The 19,686-nt window shown below is 41.8% G+C and overlaps 1 protein-coding gene across 3 annotated transcripts in view, besides 1 other annotated feature; it reads right to left on the bottom strand.

The window, feature by feature from the left end:
* Positions 1–19,686, bottom strand: part of TRPM6 (transient receptor potential cation channel subfamily M member 6) — a 165,427-nt gene that overhangs the window by 98,503 nt on the left and 47,238 nt on the right. For all 3 annotated transcript variants that reach the window (NM_017662.5, NM_001177310.2, NM_001177311.2), the window contains exons 5-8: positions 19,027–19,240; positions 13,001–13,125; positions 6,781–6,952; positions 672–840 (exon numbers count right to left, since the gene is read on the bottom strand). In NM_017662.5, coding sequence (NP_060132.3) covers positions 672–840; positions 6,781–6,952; positions 13,001–13,125; positions 19,027–19,240 — 680 coding nt within the window. The remainder of the gene's footprint in view (positions 1–671; positions 841–6,780; positions 6,953–13,000; positions 13,126–19,026; positions 19,241–19,686) is intronic.
* Positions 17,396–17,690: a silencer, noted in NCBI's record as "tiled region #9148; HepG2 Repressive non-DNase unmatched - State 24:Quies, and K562 Repressive non-DNase unmatched - State 22:ReprW". NCBI's record gives its function as "represses a minimal TATA promoter and a strong SV40 promoter by Sharpr-MPRA in HepG2 and K562 cells {active_cell/tissue: HepG2 | K562}" and the evidence as "EXISTENCE:reporter gene assay evidence [ECO:0000049][PMID:27701403]".

A 19,686-nucleotide genomic window follows, 5' to 3' on the forward strand; every position in this document is an offset into this window, starting at 1 on the left:
GAACAGGAAGAGCAATCATAAGCAAAGGCACTCCAGAGAGCTGTTACAGTATAAGCAGCAAATAACTGTTTACTAAATAAATTAGTGGGGTCAACATTTTAGTTCTTAGGCACTGTACTTATTTATACAGTAGAAATATCATGCTTTTGAAATTGGAAGAACCACACTGGCTAGAGGGATGGCAAGAGAAAAATTATCTTCTTATTTGAGAAGGGGAAAGAATTAAAGCCTGAAATAAGCACGACATATGCTATGAAAATGTCAGGATGTAGACCTTCCCAATTTCTGCTATTTCCATTAAGGGCAAATGAATTTGAAGGTGCTCTGGGCCCAACACTGGCCACCTCCCTTACAAGGTCCTTACGGCTGTAATGGCCAATTGCTCAAGCCACACCTCCCTCACTCCCCCTGCAAACACCTTTTCCCCAAAGTTCAAGCAAGACTCAAGCTTCCCTTTAAAGGCAGGCCATTCTTCAGCTAAGAAAATAGCAACTCTCATCGCTGAAGGGCATTTTGATGTTGAACAACAAACACAGTCACTGAGAAATGAAATCCAGTCTCAACTTCTATAATCCAAGAATATCTGGCTCACATAAATGCACAGCCAAAAGAACTAAAATGGAGGAATAAACAGCCCCTATAGTTTCAAAAAAGAAGAGCCAACAACTCACCCTTCATCTGCCAGGTGTTTGTGTGTGAAGGCCAGGAGGTCAGCCGCCCTACCTGTGCCCTCACACACCACCACTGGGTCCTTGTCCTTGACAGTCTCCCACACTGACAGGATGACGTTGGGACCGCCTTCCACCACCAGCCCCACGACCGGCACGCCTTGTCTTGAGCCTATTCCAGACCACAAACAATACCACACTGTTAGAGAATCCCTAGCTCAGCCAGTCGGCCGTTTTGACTTCCAGACACAAGTCTCTCAATTACCACCTATGTTCATTCCTCACACTGGCCCCTCTCTCATTTTACCCTGGTTTGCTTAGATCAAGACCAAGCCAGAAACTTGGACTTCAAATAAAATGTGGCATAAATATGGTGACAGCATCTTCAAGCTTTTACCAGGTAAAAAGGCTTTCAATAATTTTTCAAAAAAATAAGTATTGCTTAAGAAATAAGTATTCCATTACGGGAAACTCCCAAAGTATCTAAAAGTAAACAGAACAATATAATAGATCCCAATGTGTTCATCACTCATCTCCAAAAATGAACAACCTTAACCAGTTCAACAAACATTTTAATTATTACTTATTTATTTATTTTATATAAGACAAGGTCTCACTCTGTCAGCTAGGCTGGAATGCAGTGGTGTGATCACAGCTCACTGCAGCCTCGACTTACCAGGCTCACGCAATCCTCCTGTCTCAGCCTCCTGAGTAGATGGGACCACAGGTATGTACCACCACACCTAGCTTTTTTTTTTTTTCAGTTATTTGTAGAGATGGGGTCTCCCTATGTTGCTCAGGTTGATCTCAAGCTCCTTGTCTCAAGTGATCTTCCTGCCTCAGCCTCCCAAAGTCTTGGAATTACAGGTGTGAGCCACCACACCTAGACTCTATAAACTTTTAATGGTGGTTATTTCTAGGAACAAGGTAGGATGACAACACTCAAAGACTTTTGCATTGCCATTTATTTCATTTTTTATTGTTTGAATTTTTTATCATGACTATATATTACCTTTTTTTCTTGCAGACTACGTGACCCAAGCCTATATATATATTACTTTCTTAAAGTAAGGGAGAAAGAACAGAAAGGAATAACTGCAGAGTCATTCTTTTAAAAAAGATGTAAGCAAAAAAGCTTACAGAATAATATGCACAGTATTATCCTATGTATATTTTTTAAAAATATACTTACATACATATTTTATATGTATATATGCACATACCTGTATGTATAGCATGTTATATAAATGACCAGAAAATTCTGGAAGGATACACATCACACTATGAACAGTGGAAAAGAGAAGGGAAGGTTTAGGAAAATGTTGAAAAGGGACCTTGTCTATTTATTCTGTAGATTTCTTATTTGCTTTATGTTTTCACACCACACATATATTGATATACTACATTTAAATCACTGTATTTTATTTTATTTTCCAAAAGAAGAAAATTTGGCAAGCAATGCCACACTCACCCCTGAGCAAAAGAGGACTTTACTCTGAGCCCCATGTTTTCAGGGGCGCACACTGGCCTTCCTCTGGCCACACCCCTGCCCTCATGGTGAGACATCTACAGGGTCAAGGGTCAAGGGAAGCCTGTGCTCCCTCCCCAGCTTACTAGGATGCCCAAAGAACACCACGTTGCTAAGTACTTCCAAAAATCCAAGGTTTCCAAACTCAAGTCTGGCCTTCCAGCTATATGTGTCAAGATAAAAGGCTAGGACATATTTTATACAGTTATCTAGATTTAAGGCATTTAAATATCTAGACGTATAGTATGTGGTCTTCCATGTGTATCCTGTGTCAGGCTCTCAAATGTTAGGGATGGGTCAGTTAGCAACCATCCAAAAACTTCACTCCATCGATTTAGTTGCTTTGACATTCTACTCCTTTTCCATACACCTCCACCTCATTATTTTCTCCATATCACTAAAAAGCATATCTATGATGTACCAACTAATAGACATAGGGTTTCTCTAAATAGTCTTATAAAAGCCAAATGAGGCGGCAAAAATAGTATAAGGCACAAAAGTAATAGAAGAAAATTTCGATTAATATTTTATTGATTTTGGAATAAAAACACTTGTAAGTGAATTTTTTGTATCTTGTGCAATAAAACGTTATTCAGCCATTAAAATGTACTAAATTATACTCATTGACATGGAAATAGGACCGTGTTTAGTGGGGCAGGGGAAAAACTACAAAAGAAGCATTATGAAATCACCCCAGTTTTTGCTTAAAAGATGTTGCTTGTGTGTGTGTGTGTGCGTCTGCATGTGTGTGTAGAAAATTTGTGAAAATATACATATGAAAAGGTTAAGAATGGTTAGTTTTGATAGTGAGATTACAGAAAACTGTCCCTTTCTTCTGTTATATGCTTTCTTTGCATTACCTGAATGTGGAAGTATATAATACTTTTACCATCCGAAAAAGAAAAAAAAATTAATATGGGCATTTTTGTGGAAGAGGAAGAGAATTCAATTTCTGTTAGGTACACTTTTTTTTTTTTTATGGAGTCTCACTTTGTTGCCCAGGCTGGAGTGCAGTGGCACCATCTTAGCTCACTGCAACCTCTGCCTCCTGGGTTCAAGTGATTCTCCTGCCTCAGCCCCCTGAATAGCTGGGATTACAGGTGCGCGCCATCATGCCCGGCTGCTTTTTTGTATTTTTAGTAGAGACGGGGTTTCACCATGTTGGCCAGGCTGGACTTGAACTCCTGACCTCAGGGGATCCATCCACCTCAGCCTCCCAAAGTGCTGGGACTACAGGGGTGAGCCACCACACCTGGCCCACTTCTCTTGAAATAATAACTTATGCCCACAAAATCAAATATATTTATGGCTTTTTCTGAAAAAAAAAAAAAAAAAAAAAAAAAAAAAAAAAAATCTTACTGATACACTAATAAAAATTGGTTTAAAAAGAAAAAAATGTAAAATTCTTGCTGAGAAATCTCACTAGAGAGCTGCTTCTACTGTAAGGTCCCAGGGTGAGGCAGGAATACAATATTAGACCTCCAAATTAAAAGTTCCTAGAACAGACATTCCAGGAAAGAGCACTCTTCTCCCTTGAGACTTGGATTACGAAAAGATACAGAGGCATCAGAGCCTATGTTTCCTATCTTGAAATCACATCCTTAGAGTCTTACAAAACAGAAGCTGACATTGGCCACATTTCAAATGGCTGAAAGCCAGGGATTCCTACAGCAACTTTATAATGTGAGTCTTTTTTTTTTTTTAAAGTATTCTCTGCCAACAACAAGGGTTTGCCAGAGTCACCAAGAAGACTGGCTGAAAAGCAATAAAATAAATCAACCACAGGCTGGGCATGGTGGCTCACACCTGTAATTCCAGCACTTTGGGAGGCCAAGGCAGGTGGATTACTTGAGGTCAGGAGTTCGAGACCAGCCTGGCCAACATGGTAAAATCCTGTCACTATCAAAAATAGAAAAAAATTAGCCGGGTGTGGTGGCAGGTGCTTGTAATCCCAGCTACTCAGGAGGCTGGGGCAGGAGAATTGTTTGAACCAGGGAGGCAGAGGTTGCAGTGAACTGATATCACGCCATTGCACTCCAGCCTGGGTGACAAAGTGAGACTCAGTCTCCAGAAAAAACAAAAAAGTCAAATAAATCAACCACTAGTTAAGTATTTTCATGCCATCAAAAATAAATCCCTTTTTGATCAAATCAACAACAAATACAAATATGGTAGCCAACCTCCCTCATAAGTATGTTAGGTATGAAGATCAGCTTGATACATAAGAATTTTGAGTTTCTTGAGGGCATGTCTTCTCTTTCTTCCGTGTGTGTGTGTGTGTGTGTGTGTGTATGTGTGTGTGTATAGGTGGCTTCTTGTTTTTGCTGTTTTTATATGGGTTCTCCTTAGAATAATAAATGTTACCAGTCCACTGGAATTGACTCCATAGTCAGCAAAAGCCTCCAGATAAATCCTAGGTTTCAAGGTCTTTGAAAGTAGAAATGTCATCTGCTACTATAAGCAAGCTCAGGGTTGTTGCATTCTTACTAAAATGGGCAATCAGCAGGGAATAAGAAAGACAAAGACTCTCATACCTCCCATGGAGCATACATTATAGCGCTGCACAGAACCCCACGCAATTTAGGTGGTGGGCAAAGGTCAACAGAGGCAACAGGACATTTCAGGTAATATTTCAGGCCCCTAATGGATCCCTCTCTATACGGATTCTTCTTCAAGGTCCTTCTCTGACCTCTCTTCCTTCCCTCTGCTCTGCTGGTCTCCCTTCTCCCAGCCATTCCTACCCCGCAGAAGACCACATACCTGATCCTCTCTCCCCTTTTCCTGACCTGCATAAGCCTCAGAATCCTTATTCACACTAAGAGTTAAGTGAACGACCACAATTCCCAGAGTCCCTCCCCTCCTCCTACCCCACAACCATGAGATGATCACTGTACCAAAGGAGGGAAAAAGGAAGGAAAGAAACAGACATTTATTAAAGACACACCGTGCACCCAACACAATTCTAGACATCCCTAATATACATCTTCTCAATTAATTGTCACAACAAACGTTAGACGTAGATAGTTCTTTTCATTTTATAATAAGAAAACAGTTGACAGATGTTAATGCCATCTGGCCAAGGTCACAGGCACAAAATGACAGCGCTTCAATCTGTCTGACCTCACTACATTCTGCTGCCTCCAGGGATCAAGGCCAAAAACTAAATGGACTTCCAGTCTTTCATTTTTTCAGCCCAATGCTCAAAGGCTGAAGAGGACTTGAGCCTCCTGAAGGCATTCCCACTCCCTGGCCCTTTGTCCCAAGGAAGTATTTTGTGGAAGATTTAATTCGGCACAAGAGGCAGGGGTCGACTTTCTGGTGCCTTGAACCAAAAGTCTACAGTTTTCCAGGCAGCACTCAGCCCTCCTGCTCTCTGTAAAGGATTCACACTTCCCTGCCCAGTGGTGCATGCTGATTCTGGCCCTCCCTTCTCCTTGCCCTCCTCCAGATAAAACTACCAAAATGGCCCTCTTGAAGCACCACTGTGAGCATGACACAAACTTGACACTTTCCAAGGTCCCTATTTCTTTTTCTTTTTCTTTCTTTTTTTTTTTTTTTTTTTTGAGACAGAGTCTTGCTCTGTCACCTGGGCTGAAGTGCAGTGGGGCGATCTCAGCTCACTGTAACCTCTACACCCCAGGTTCAAGTCATTCTCCTGCCTCAGCCTCCTGAGTAGCTGGGATTACAGGCATGCACCACCACACCTGGCTAATTTTTGTATTTTTAGCAGAGACAGGGTTTCACCATGTTGGCCAGGTTGGTCTCGACTCCTGACTTCAGGTGATCCACCCGCCTCAGCCTCCCAAAGTGCTGGGATTACAGGCGTGAGCCACCACACCCAGCCCCAAGGTCCCTATTTCTAAAAATCCTGTCTGGTCTTAACCCCTTCCCTGCCTAGGGCCACCCCACCAACACATGAAATGTCATCTTCCCTGACCATCAAAGCTCACACCCCTAGTCCCCTCAAGCTAGCCTCCTTAATGCTCTTCAGCCACCCCCCTTCCCACATGGGTATCTCCCCTCCTCTCTCCCTCCATCTATCCAACCCAAATGACTCTTTGAGGATCCACTAAAGTCTTCATCCCTCCATCATCCCCCAAACATTTCTTCCTCTCTCTCAACTGTCACCCACAAGTCTGCACGGTCTTATATCCTGCTTTCTTCTGGCTTCGGGTTCCCTATGTTAACTTAATCCCTCTGGCTGCTCTAAGGCAGGGGCCAACTTCGGCCTCTACTCTGTGCAGGTGATAAGTGAGCACCTTGACCATGGTGAACCCACAGCCGGAAGAACACAGGATATCAGACAGTGCAGACTTGTGGATGACAGTTGAGAGAGAGGAAGAAATCTTTGGGGGGATCATGGAAGGATGAAGACTTTAGTGGATCCTCGAAGTGTCATTTGGATTGGATACATGGAGGGAGAGAGGAGGGGAGATGCCCATGTGGGAAGGGGGGTGGCTGAAGAGTATTAAGGAGGCTAGCTTGAGGGGACTAGGAGAGTGAGCTCTGATGGTCAGGGAAGACCATGAAAGACCTCAGCAGGCCTGCAACCAGACTGGGTGACTGAGCCCCTGTGATACTCACGGCAGTGTATTTTCTGCAGAGAGAGGTACTTCTCCAGGTTCCTTCTGAGCTTCATTTCATTTCCATACTTGCCCACGGTCCCATCATCAGACAGGATGAAGTGCGAGTGCATGCTGTTGAGTGTTGTGAGCTTGCTGAGGGGGTTATCCAGAGTCTGGTACAGGCACACCACCTGAGAGACAGCAAGGACAAGGGAGGGTCAGAGCTCTAGATCCTTCCCCAGGCTCACCTGCTCCAAAGGCCTATCTTTATGTGCTAAAAGAGTTCCTGTCTAGTTTAAAAAGTACTACTTGCGGCCAGGCATGGTGGCTCATGCCTGTAATCCCAGCACTTTGGGAAGCCAAGGTGGGCGGATCACAAGGTCAGGAGATAGAGACCAGCCTTACTAACACGGTGAAACCCCATCTCTACTAAAAATACACAAAAAAATTGGCCAGGCATGGTGGCAGGTGCCTGTAGTCCCAGCTACTTGGGAGGCTGAGGCAGGAGAATTGCTTGAACCCGGCAGGCAGAAGTTGCAGTGAGGTGAGATCGCGCCACTGCACTCCAGTGCAACAGAACGAGACTCCGTCTCAAAAAGAAAAAAAAAAAGTATTACTTGCAATTTAGAGCAGTGCTTCTCAAACTATCTGTGGTATCAATTTTTTAAATTTCCCATGTTTTAATGGACCGATATGTGATCCCACTATGAATAACTAGTAGGCAGCTTGTGGTACATGAGATTCACAACACAAGTTCAACAGTATTGAAACAAACCCTGTTCAGCAAGATTAGCCTGCTTTCCACGTGCTTGAATGACACAGCATGGTCACATTGCTGGCAGTGGTTCTAAATATTTTTTTTTCCTTTCTTTCTTTTTTTTTTTTTTTGAGATGGAGTCTTGCTCTATTGCCCAGGCTGGAGTGCAGTGGCATGATCTCAGCTCACTGCAACCTTAGCCTCCCAAGTTCAAGCGATTCTCCTGCTTCAGCCTCCCGAGTAGCTGGGTCTACAGGCACACATCTCCACGCTTGGCTAATTTTTGTATTTTTAGGAGAGACGGGGTTTCACGCCCAGCCTTCGTTTTCATTTCTGTGCTTACCTTGTTTCAAATCATTAAAAAACAGTTCAAGGACTGGCACCAGTACATAGACCACACCATTATTCAAAAATAGTGTCTTTTTATAGATTTATTCCAGAATAATATTTTGACACTGACTTTTCTCTAGTATTTCAAACAAAATAAAGAGTAACAGCTGGCCAGGAGCGGTTATGCCTGTAATACCAGCACTTTAGGAGGCCGAAGCTAGCGGATCAGTTGAGGTTAGGAGTTCGAGACCAGCCTGGCCAACATGGTAAAACCCTATCTCTACCAAAAATACAAAAATTAGCCAGGCATGGTGGCATGCGCCTGTAGTCCAGCTACTCAGGAGGCTGAAGCACAAGAATCACTTGAACCTGGGAGGTGGAGGTTGCAGTGAGCCAAGATCTCGCCACTGCACTCCAGCCTGGGCGACACAGTGAGACCCCATCTCAAAAATAAATAAATAAATAAAACAGTGGAACAGCCAACCAGCCAAACAGTATTTCATTCATTATAAAACATCAAAATCTTTATTACATTAATGGACATTTTCTTAAGCTGCTCCACTTCGTATTTGCTTTTAGAGGCAAAAGCACAATATTTAGAGTAAGAAAGCCCAAGTTTAAGTCAAGGCTCTTCTACTTACTAACCTTAACTCTGAGTAATTCTTGCTTTCTTTCTCAGGCTTATTTTCCTCAGGTATAAGTAAGGATGATGATACTGATAATTTTTATTCAGAGGGTTGTTGTGAGGCTTCAAAGAAATAATGGATGCAAAAGGCACTCTGAACTTTATAAACATTAGGCTTTAAATGTTACCTTTATAATTTCGAAGCATGACACTGAGGCAAGAAACCAAAAGGAAAATAATTGAGAGATTTAATACATATTTTGTATTTATTTTAAAAAGATAAGAAATAATATAAAATAAAAACTATGAGAAATGCAGCATACTTGACAAACAAAATTGTTACTAGGCTGAATTATAGGATCTTTCAAGGCTAGACACAGAGAGAGGCTCATTCCTATAATCCCAACACTTTGGGAGGCCAAGGCAGGAAGATCACTTGAGGCCAAGGGTTCAAAACCAATCTGAACAACACAGCAAGGCCCCATCTCTAAAAGAAAAAAATTTTTAAGAATTAGTTGGGTGTGGCGGTGCATGCATGTAGTACCAACTACTCTGGAGGCTGACATGGGAGGATCACTTGAGCCCAACAGTTCAAGACTGCAGTGAGCTATGATCATGCCATTGTACTTCAGCCTTGGCAACAGAGCAAATTTTATCTTAAAAAAACAAAACAAAACAAAAAAACTTGAAGGTTAAGAAGTCTAAAATCCCTGCTTGAAAATGTACAAAAACCAGATGAAGAGATGTTGAACCTCACTAGCAATCAGGGAAATGTAAATAAGAAAAATTAGGTATTATTTTATACCTTAACAGAAGGGTAGAGCTTGAAAAAAAAACAGAATACTCAGAACTCAATGGGCATCCACATACCCCATTGAAAATAATATGAATTGTTTTGTTTTGGGGTTTTTTTGTTTGTTTGTTTGTTTTGTTTTTTTCTTTTAGACAAGGTCTAATTCTGTCACCCAGGCTGGAGTACAGTAGTGCCCATCTGGGATCACTGCAACCTCTGCCTCCCGGGCTCGAGCGATCCTCCCACCTCAGCCTCCTGAGTAGCTAAGATCACAGGCACATGCTGCCATGCTGGCTATTTTTGTTTTTGTTGTTGTTTGGTTTGTTTGTTTGAGACAGGGTCTTACTCTGTTGCCCAGGCTGGAGTGCAGTGGTGCAATCACAGCTCACCACAACCTCAACTTCCCAGGTTCAAGCAATCCTTCCACCTCAGCCCCCCAAGTAGCTGAGACTATAGGCGTGCACCACCATGCCCAGCTAATTTTTGTTTTTTTTTTTTTTTTTTTTTTTTTTTTTGTAGACAAGGGTTTCACCATGTTCCTCAGGCTAGTCTCAAACTCGTGAGCTCAAGCAATCCGCCGGCCTCGGCCTCGGCCTCCCAAAGTACTGGGGTTATAGGCATGAGCCACCATGCCCAGCCAAGAATGTGAATTGTTACCACCCTTCCAGAGGCAATGTGTCACATTTTAAACGGTTATACAGACTGGTCCAAGCATTCCACTTCGAGAATTAATTCTAGGGAAATAAGCAAGCTAGTATCAAAGATTTACATATCTTATCACAATATTATTATTATTATCCTCAAAAGTGAAAAACAGAACATGACCTAAATGGACAATAATAGAGGAATCATTGATTCAATACAGTACAGTATGATACTAGCTGACATGAAAAATCAAAATGTTTCCTTGGCCTCCAGATGTGCTCTGCTAATACTATGTCTCACTGACCAGGCACAGTGGCTCCCGCCTGTAATCCCAGCACTTTGGGAGGCCGAAGTGGGTGGATCACAAGGTCATGAATTCGAGACCAGCCCAGCCAATATGGTGAAACCCCATCTTTACCAACAATAAAAAAATTAGCTGGGTGTGGTAGCGGGTGCCTGTTATCCCAGCTACTTGGGAGGCTGAGGCAGGAGAATCGCTTGAACCCAGGAGGCGGAGGTTGCAGTGAGCTGAGATCGTGCCACCACACTCCAGCCTGGGCAACACAGCAAGACTCCATCTCTGGGAAAAAAATAAAAATAAAAAGCTATGTCCCACTAAAAGCAAACAGCCTTTACTCTGAGAAACAAAAAATATACACAATGAGCCTGGAATATTTTTTCATACTAAAAAGCAAGGAAGTCATGATAGACAATGGAATTGTATGAAAAGAGGAGGAGACATCTTGAAAACACTCCACCGGCCAAAATGGGATAATTTGAACATTATTAAGAATAATAACTGTATTGATTCATGGATTGAAATATGACAAAGATGTTTACATTTATGAGTTAAGAAAACTCATCATTCACCTTTCATTATTTTGAAAACTGGCAAATAAAAAGAAAAGAGTCAAGCATTTATTCAGCCCTTCCTATACAACTGTACCACAAGGTAAACCAAGTGATTGGTGAGAAAACGTTTATCTATATGGAGTATTTAAGTATTAGAGTGTTAAGTACATAGAGCATGTAAACTAATAAACAAAGGACATTATAATTAAATGTCATCACGTTGGAACTCTGTTGAAATAATGAATCTATGCAACGACTGCTAACATTATAAAAAGAGAGACCCCCATATATTACAAGGGAAAGACATACCTCCTCCTATGGCATAAACTTACACAGAAAACCTGAACCTGATCATACCTCTCAATCAAACTACCAATTTACAGAAAAGAAGCAAAGAAACATGCTAAACACCACTACAAAAGATTAAATCTGGAAAATCCAAGCTGGAGGAAACTCTTCAGAACAAATGACCCAGTTTCCTCAATAAATAAATTACACACACATAAAAAAATGAGATGGAGGTAAAATCCATAGATTAAAAGTGACAAAAATAAAAGCAAGTCAAGAGATATAACAACCCATCACAATATATGAAACTTTTTTGGATAATGAAATCAAATCACTAAATAATGAAGACTTAAGAAACCCTGTTTTTGAAAAAAACATTATGAGGCAATGAAAAACTTGACTAGACTGGATAGTCAGTGATACTCAGAAATTCCTGGTAATTTTTTAGATATAATAACTTCATTGTGATTATATATTTTCATTGTCCATATATTTTAGAAAGAACTACTAAAATATTTATAGATGAAATTATTTGATGTCTCAAATTTGCTTCAAAATAACGGAGGGTGTCGGCTGAATGGATAAGGGAAGAGGCGAAACAAAATTGGCTATGAGCTGGTAACTGTTGAAGCTGGAGATAGGTACATAGAAAAGAGTTCATTTTTCTAACTTCTCTACTGCCTAATATGTTGCAAGTTTTCCAAAATCAAAGTTAAAACAGGCTGGGTGTGGTGGCTCACGCCTGTAATCCCAGCACTTTGGGAAGCCGAGGCAGGCAGATCATCTGAGGTCAGGAGTTTGAGACCAGCCTAGCCAACATGGTGAAACCCTGTCTCTACTAAAAATACAAAAATTTGCCGGGCCTGGTGGTGGGTGCCTGTAATCCCAGCTACTTGGGAGGCTAAGGCAAGAGAATTGCTTGAACCCAGGAGGTGGAGATTGCAGTGAGCCAAGACTGCGCCACTACACACCAGCCTGGGCAAGAGAGCGAGACTCCGTCTCAGGAAAAAAAAAAAAAAATTTAAAACAACCCATAATCATGTCTGTATTAATCGACATGGAGAAATAACTACGGCAAATAGGTAAGCTGAAAAAAAGCACATTTATAGCAATCAGTTCTGTTACTATTTTTAAATACACACTTTTTTTGCTGTCCTTATACACACATACATAGAAAAAATTCTGAAATGATCCTGACAGAAATATTAACAGTAGTCATCTTTCTTCTTTAGAACATTTTCTCATATCTAATATTTTACCAAAAAATTATATTAGTCTTACAAAGAGACTGAGACAAGTCCGTTCCCTTTGAAAGAATACTTAGGAACAAAGAATCAATACACAAGAAGGAATGAAGCAGAGTAATACAAGATAACAGATGAGAACTAGGAGGGCCAAATTAAGAATGTCCCTTGTTTCACTACGGGCAAACCACTTCAAGAACCTTGGCTACTACCTTAAGTGAGACAGAAGTCCTTGAAGTGTTTTACACAGAGGAATGGCGTGATCTGATTTGTATATTTTTAAAGAATCATTCTGGCTACTATGTTGAGACTATGCTGTTAGGAGACAAAGGTAAGAGTAAAGATGGCTATTGCAATCATTCAGGCAACAGATAATGGTGGCTCGGATTCACTCAGTAACAGTAAGGGCAGTGAGAAGAAGAAATCAGATTTTAGATATATTTTTAAAGTGGAACTGATAGATCAAGTTTGAGTGTGAGACAAAGAGATCATTCCAGGATTAGTCCAAGGCTTTTGACTTGAGCAACTGCAAGGGTGGGACTGTCATCTTCTAAGACAGGGTGAGGGAAGCAGCAGAAAGTCAGGAGTTGGTAGTGAATATATTACATCTGTAATGTTCATTCATTAGACATCCAGGTACAGTGTTAAGCTGGCAATTTGCACACGTGTTCGTTTGCTTTTGTTATGAAAGGATTGTCTACTTACATCTTTTCCAATAAGGTCTCTCTGGTTCTCAATGACACCCCAAGGAGGGATTCCAACTGTCCAGATTTTTCTCAAGGAATGAGAGGAATGGGATTTCAAGGCATCCCCAACATGCTTGGACACTCCTATGAACAACCAGTTTAGAAGTCAAACTTTAATTCACAAATCGTGCAAAACAAAGAGACTGCCAGAAACAGACAAATAAATAGGCAAGCATATGCAAGGGCTATTCTTAGGGAGAGTTGCTGGTACAGTGGAATTAGTTTCTGATACCTTGGCTTCCTCTATTCTTTCTAGACACATCTTCCTCTTATCATTACCTCTCTCTACCTGAACAATGTTCCTCTGAGCCCTTTGGGCAATTTCTGCCTACAACTTCAGATCCGATCCTACTCTTGCCTAAGCAAAATGCTGTGCACTGTCCTTCCTCAGCAAGCCCAGCCCTAACATTATGAATGCTTATTATTATTATTATTATTATTATACTTTAAGTTCTAGGGTACATGCGCACAACGAGTGGGTTTGTTACATATGTATACATGTGCCATGTTGGTTTGCTGCACCCATTAACTCCTCCTTTAGGTATTTCTCCTAATGTTAGCCCTCCCCCAGCCCCCCACCCCCTGACAGGCCCTGGTGTGTGATGTTCCCCACCCTATGTCCAAGTGTTCTCATTGTTCAATTCCCACCTATGAGTGAGAACATGCGGTGTCTGGTTTTCTGTCCTTGCGATAGTTTGCTCATCTATGTCCCTACAAGGGACATGAACTCATCCCTTTTATGGCTGCATAGTATTCCATGGTGTATATGTGCCACATTTTCTTAATCCAATCTATCCCTGATGGACATTTGAGTTGGTTCCAAGTCTTTGCTATTGTGAATAGTGCCGCAATAAACATACGTGTGCATGTGTCTTTATAGTAGCATGATTTATAATCCTTTGGGTATATACCCAGTAATAGGATTGCTGGGTCAAATGGTATTTCCAGTACTAGATCCTTGAGGAATCGCCACACTGTCTTCCACAATGGTTGAACTAGTTTACACTCCCACCAACAGTGTAAAAGTGTTCCTATTTCTCCACATCCTCTCCAGCACCTGTTTCCTGACTTTTTAATAATCACCATTCTAACTGGTGTGAGATGGTATCTCATTGTGGTTTTGATCTGCATTTCTCTGATGGCCAGTGCTGATGAGCATTTTTTCATGTGTCTGTTGGCTGCATAAATGTCTTCTAATGAAAAGTGTCTGTTCATATCCTTTGCCCACTTTTTGATGGGGTTGTTTGATTTCTTCTTGTAAATTTGTTTAAGTTCTTTGTAGAGTTTGGATATTAGCCCTTTGACAGATGGGTAGACTGCAAAAATTTTCTCCTATTATGAATGTTTTTTTTATGCCTAATCTTACCCAATGTCCCAGCACAACATCCTGCAGATATGTCCCTTGCTCATTAAGGCAAACTAATTTAATAGCTTTATATGCACAAATATTTCAAAGCTAATACATTGAGGAGTAATATGTTAATGTTCGCCCTTCTGGAATTAATACTAGTAATTAGTACAGTAGCCAACACTTACTGGCCTACAGTAAGATTTCAGTAAGTGTTGGCTACCTTTGTATGTATTTACACTTTAAGTAGGAATGTTTTTAGTCCACTTTATAGGCAAAAAATTGTGGCACTGAGAGTTTAAATAAATTGTCCAAGGTTTGTAGAGCTTTGGACAATTTATTTAGAGCTTGGATTTTGTAGAGATTGGATTCCAATTTAGGCAATTTGACCTTTTTCAAGAATAGACTTTATTTTTTAGAGTAGTTTTGGGTTCACAGCAAAATTGAATGAAAAGTACAGAAAGTTCCCATGCCATGCCCTGCTCCCACACAAACACAGCCTCCCCGACTATCAGCATCCCCCAGGAGACTGGTACATCTGTTACAATTGATGACCCTACATTATAGGGTCATGACAATAGAATATCACTATTCTCCATAGTCCACAGTTTACATCAGTTTACATTAGGGTTCACTCTTGCTGCTGTACATTCTATGAGTTTTGACAAAGATACAATGATGTATATCCACCATGTTAGTATCACTGGCCTGAAAATATTCTGTGCTCTGCCTACTCATCCCTCTCCCCCCTCAGCTCCTGGCAACTGCTGATCTTTCTACTGTCTCCATAGATTTGCCTTTTCCAGAATGTCATATACTATAGTTGGAATCATACAGTAAGTAGCCTTTGAGATTGGCTTGATCTGACCTTTAAATCACAATACTGCATTGTAAGACTTATTCTTCCTATTCTTCCTATGTGTGGTACTGACCTTATATGTGTCATTAGCACAGAAGGAAAAATAACCTGCATATGGCATGGATCTGAGGCTTAGCAGCTAAATCACTTCCTCATTCCTGGCATCTTCCCTTCCAACTCATTTTCTGACCCTCTCCCAGAGCCATCTCTAGAACCTGGGATCTGGATCACAGGCACACATCAATATCAAGTGTGGAGCCATCCACCCCAGTAGAGATTCTGATTCCATGGTTTGGCATGGTGTGCCAACACTGTTGTTGTTTTAAGCACCTTACATGTGATCCTAACACATATCGTTGTTTGAGACTCTCCGTAAAACCCAATTTGACCATGTTATTCCCCTATTCATCCTGCTGTTCAAATTCCTTTCAGGGCTCCTTGCTATGTAGAGAATAAGACTTCAGCATGGCACCCAATCTGGCTCCAGTCTCCTTTGCAGTCCCTGTCCCCTGCCACATGGCACACACTCCAGCCAGGAGCTTTATCACTTCTTTCTACACATGCCTTCACCTCTAGCTGTGTGCCTAACCCTGAGCTGCCACTTCTTACTAATGCCGCTTCCTACCTTTACCACAAGACCAATGCCAAGTGCTATATCCTTCCCAAGACTTCCAAGGTGCCCTCAGTTGAAACTAGAATTCATGTCCGTCTTCCTTGTATTCTCAAAACAGTTCCTTTGAATCTCAACTATAACCCAGTCAGCATCAATTTCTCACTAGTTGCTTTTTGTCTGTCACAGCCCAACCCATCACTAAATTCAGGGTCCGTGTTACTCCTCTTTCATTCCTAACACCTATCCAAATGCTTTTCACATAGTAGATTCTTAAGGCTTGTGGCATTCAATTTAAGTAAATGTCAAAGATTCATGCGAAATTATGTTCAACTATGGTTGAGAAGCCTGTCAAGAATAGACAGGAGCTCATAAGCAGAGTTCAAATTTAAACGTGCACGGGAATCATCTGGGGATGTTGTTAAAATGCAGGTTCTGATTCTGCAGGTCTGGGGTGGGGCCTGAAATAGGCACTTTCAGCAAGCTCTCAGCTGATGCTGATGCTGCTGGTCCAGGGACTAATCCTTAAGTAGCCAGGCCATAGAGGAGCTGTGGTTGAATCAGGTTAGCCTGATTGTTTTATGTTGTTGTTGTTTTCTTTTTTTTTTTTGAGACGGAGTCTCGCTCGTCGCCCAGGCTGGAGTGCAGTGGCACGATCTCGGCTCGCTGCAACCTCCGCCTCCTGGGTTCATGCCATTCTCCTGCCTCAGCCTCCCAAGTAGCTGGGACTACAGGCGCCCGCCGCCACACTCGGCTAATTTTTTGTATTTTTAGTAGAGACGGGGTTTCACCGTGTTGGCCAGGTTGGTCTCGATCTCCTGACCTTGTGATCCACCCACCTTGGGCTCCCAAAGTGTTGGGATTACAGGTGTGAGCCACCACGCCCGGCCCCCTTTTTTTTTTTTTTTTTTTTAAGACAGGGTCTTGCTTTGCCACCCAGGCTGGGTAGAGTGACATGATCATAGCTCACTGCAGCCTTGACCTCCCAGGCTCAAGTAAACCTCCCACCTCAGCCTCCCCAGTAGCTGGGTCTACAGGTGCACACCACCACATCCAGCTAATTTCTGCAATTTTTTAGAGATAGGGTTTTGCCACATTGCCCAGGGTGGTCTCGAACTCCTGAGCTCAGGCAATTCACCAGCCCTCAGCTTCCCGAAAGGCTGGGATTATAGGCATGAACCACTGTATCTGGCCTGACTGTTGTTTAGTGGAGATCCAAGTATTTCTCATGTCCCATTTCTTTTGTTTATATGAAGTATTTCAATCATCTCCACACTACTCTATTTGTGTTTCTTTAGGTTAACTGGCCATAAACTCAATGATCTTTTTAAGGCATTAAGTAAAATGAAGCACGACATGCAGTTAGTTATTCAAAGAAAAAGCCTTGCCCAAGCCTGTCTTTTCAATGAATTATGTGAAACTTCCCTACCCACCCACTTCACTGGAAATCAAATAAGAACTATACAATGGACTTAGAACTCTGCCAACTTCAGTTTCTTCCAAGAATGTGAAACAATCTCTATAAAATATGTATGATAAAGTGTGCGTTACCTATTTGTGATGGGCCAAATCCCTTGGTTTTATTTTACTTTGTTTTTTCAGTCATTCACTTCCTTCATTCCTTTTCAGTCAAAAGGAACTTTGTTATGTCAGTACAAGGTGCTAAATGCTTAGGCAGATGCTCAGGCCCTTGCCTCTAGTACACAACCAGAAGGAGAGCTAACACACTGACTCATCCTAGCCTGTAAGGCAAAATACCAACATTCTGCAAGTGCTACAGGCAGTAAATGCTGTAGAAATTAAAAGACAAAAGTGAGTAGCTCTAGTTGAGATATTCAAGAAGCTGTTTGACGAGTGCGTTGGCATCTCGTGTAGATCTTAAAACATGGGCAAAATTTGATAGGAGACACTGGGCAGGGCATGCCAAATCAAAAGAGAGAAAAGTAAAGGGAAGATAGAAAACCACAGGTTAGGCCAGACATGGTGGCTCACGCCTGTAATCCCAGCACTTTGGGAGGCCAAGGTGGGCAGATCGCCTGAGGTCAGGAGTTCGAGGCCAGCCTGGCCAATATGGTGAAACCCTGTCTCTACTAAAAATACAAAAATTAGCCAGGTGTGGTGACAGGCACCTGTAATCCCAGCTACTTGGGAGGCTGAGGCAGGAGAATCGCTTGAACCTGGGAGGCGGAGATCGCAGTGAGCCAAGACTGCACCATTGCACTCCAGCCTGGGTGACAAGAGCGAGACTTCATCTCAAAAAAAAAAAAAAAAAGAAAAAGAAAACCACAGGTTAGTAACAAACTGGTAAGAGACAAGAGTTTATGGAATCACTAGTTCTCAATCCTGGCTGACATACTTCAGAAGCTCCTGACTAAAAGCCTCTAATTCATCTGGGGAAGAGCCTGTACATTTGTATTTTAAAAGCTCCCCAGGTTGTCCTTATGTGCAGACAGTTCACAAACACTGAAGCAAAGAAATAAGGTCAGAGCCCCCCATATACAATTCTGGAATTTCAGATTTTAAGAAGTGTAGAAGAGTCAGTGATTGAGACGGTGAGTGTTTTGGCAATCATGTAGTTAAAAAAAAAGTATCTACTCATGCCCAAAACACGCAATGCAAGTTTTACCCACATCACTGATTTCCCAAATCTGAGAAACTGACAATGATTATATGAGTTTAGTGAAAGTCCAGGCCCACACACACTATGCACTTGCATGGATTCGATGTCCCTTCTAGCCTTGCTGTAGTTGGGAGCTCAGGAAAGACTATTTTCTTTTCCAGAGGTTTATCTGAAGTTACATTAAAATAGTATATTCTGACAATGGTAAAAACACATTCCAGGAAAAATCTATGATTCTTCTGGGTTTATTTTCTAGTCACTAGGATTTTCATCTTTCTTCCTCACAGCACCACATATCCTAGGAGTGCTACAGAGCAGAGATTATGTGGCACACTACCTGATTCACAGTTAGAAAGAAAAAAGAAAAAGAGAAGAGAGAGAGGAAGGAAGGAAGGAAGGAAGGAAGGAAGGAAGGAAGGAGGGAGGGAGGGAGGGAGGGAGGGAAAGAAAAGAAAAGAAAGAGAAAGGAAAAAAGAAAAGAGGGAGAGAGGGAGGGAGAGAGGGAGGGTGAAAGAGAGGGTGGGAGAAATGGAGGGAGGGAGCTTTACCTGTATTGATGCCTTCAGTTATTATCCACGCTCCTGTTGTCTCTGCAGCTTTAACCAAACCTTGGCTGAAAATCTCTTTAAATTTAGAGGGCATAGTAAAGTTCTGGATGCCCCCATGGACTGAGATCACAAGCTTGGGCAGTTCCATTTTCCACTCTTTCAACATTAAATGTAACAGATGATCCAGTTTTGTATCATAAGAAGTTCTAATATACTGCAAGAAAAGCACATGTAGGTGAACAGAACATTGTAAAAAAGTTATGCCAGGCACAGAAACAATGAGCACACAGCAGGGCAACTGAAATGGCCAAAATCTAAAAGGAAGTATGTGGGATCTCTTTAAAGTTCATCTTCATGTAATGGAAATATTTACTTTTAAAAGATTCCACACTCCCATTAAGTTCCTTCTGGGAATTACAAGTCACTGTAGGAAAGCTTCCTCTGGTTTTCAAGGCTGGCCCACCAATGCTCTCCAGAGAACCTGGGGTGAGGCAGAAATACTTCAAACAGGCAGGGTGCGGTGGCTCACGCCTGTAATTCCAGCACTTCGGGAGGCCGAGGTGGGCGGAACACCTGAGGTCAGGAGTTCAAGACCAGCCTGGCCAACATGGTGAAACCCCATCTCTACTAAAAATACAAAAAAATTAGCCAGGCATGGTG

This window comes from Homo sapiens, chromosome 9, assembly GCF_000001405.40.
Source record: "Homo sapiens chromosome 9, GRCh38.p14 Primary Assembly".
NCBI lineage: Eukaryota > Metazoa > Chordata > Mammalia > Primates > Hominidae > Homo > Homo sapiens.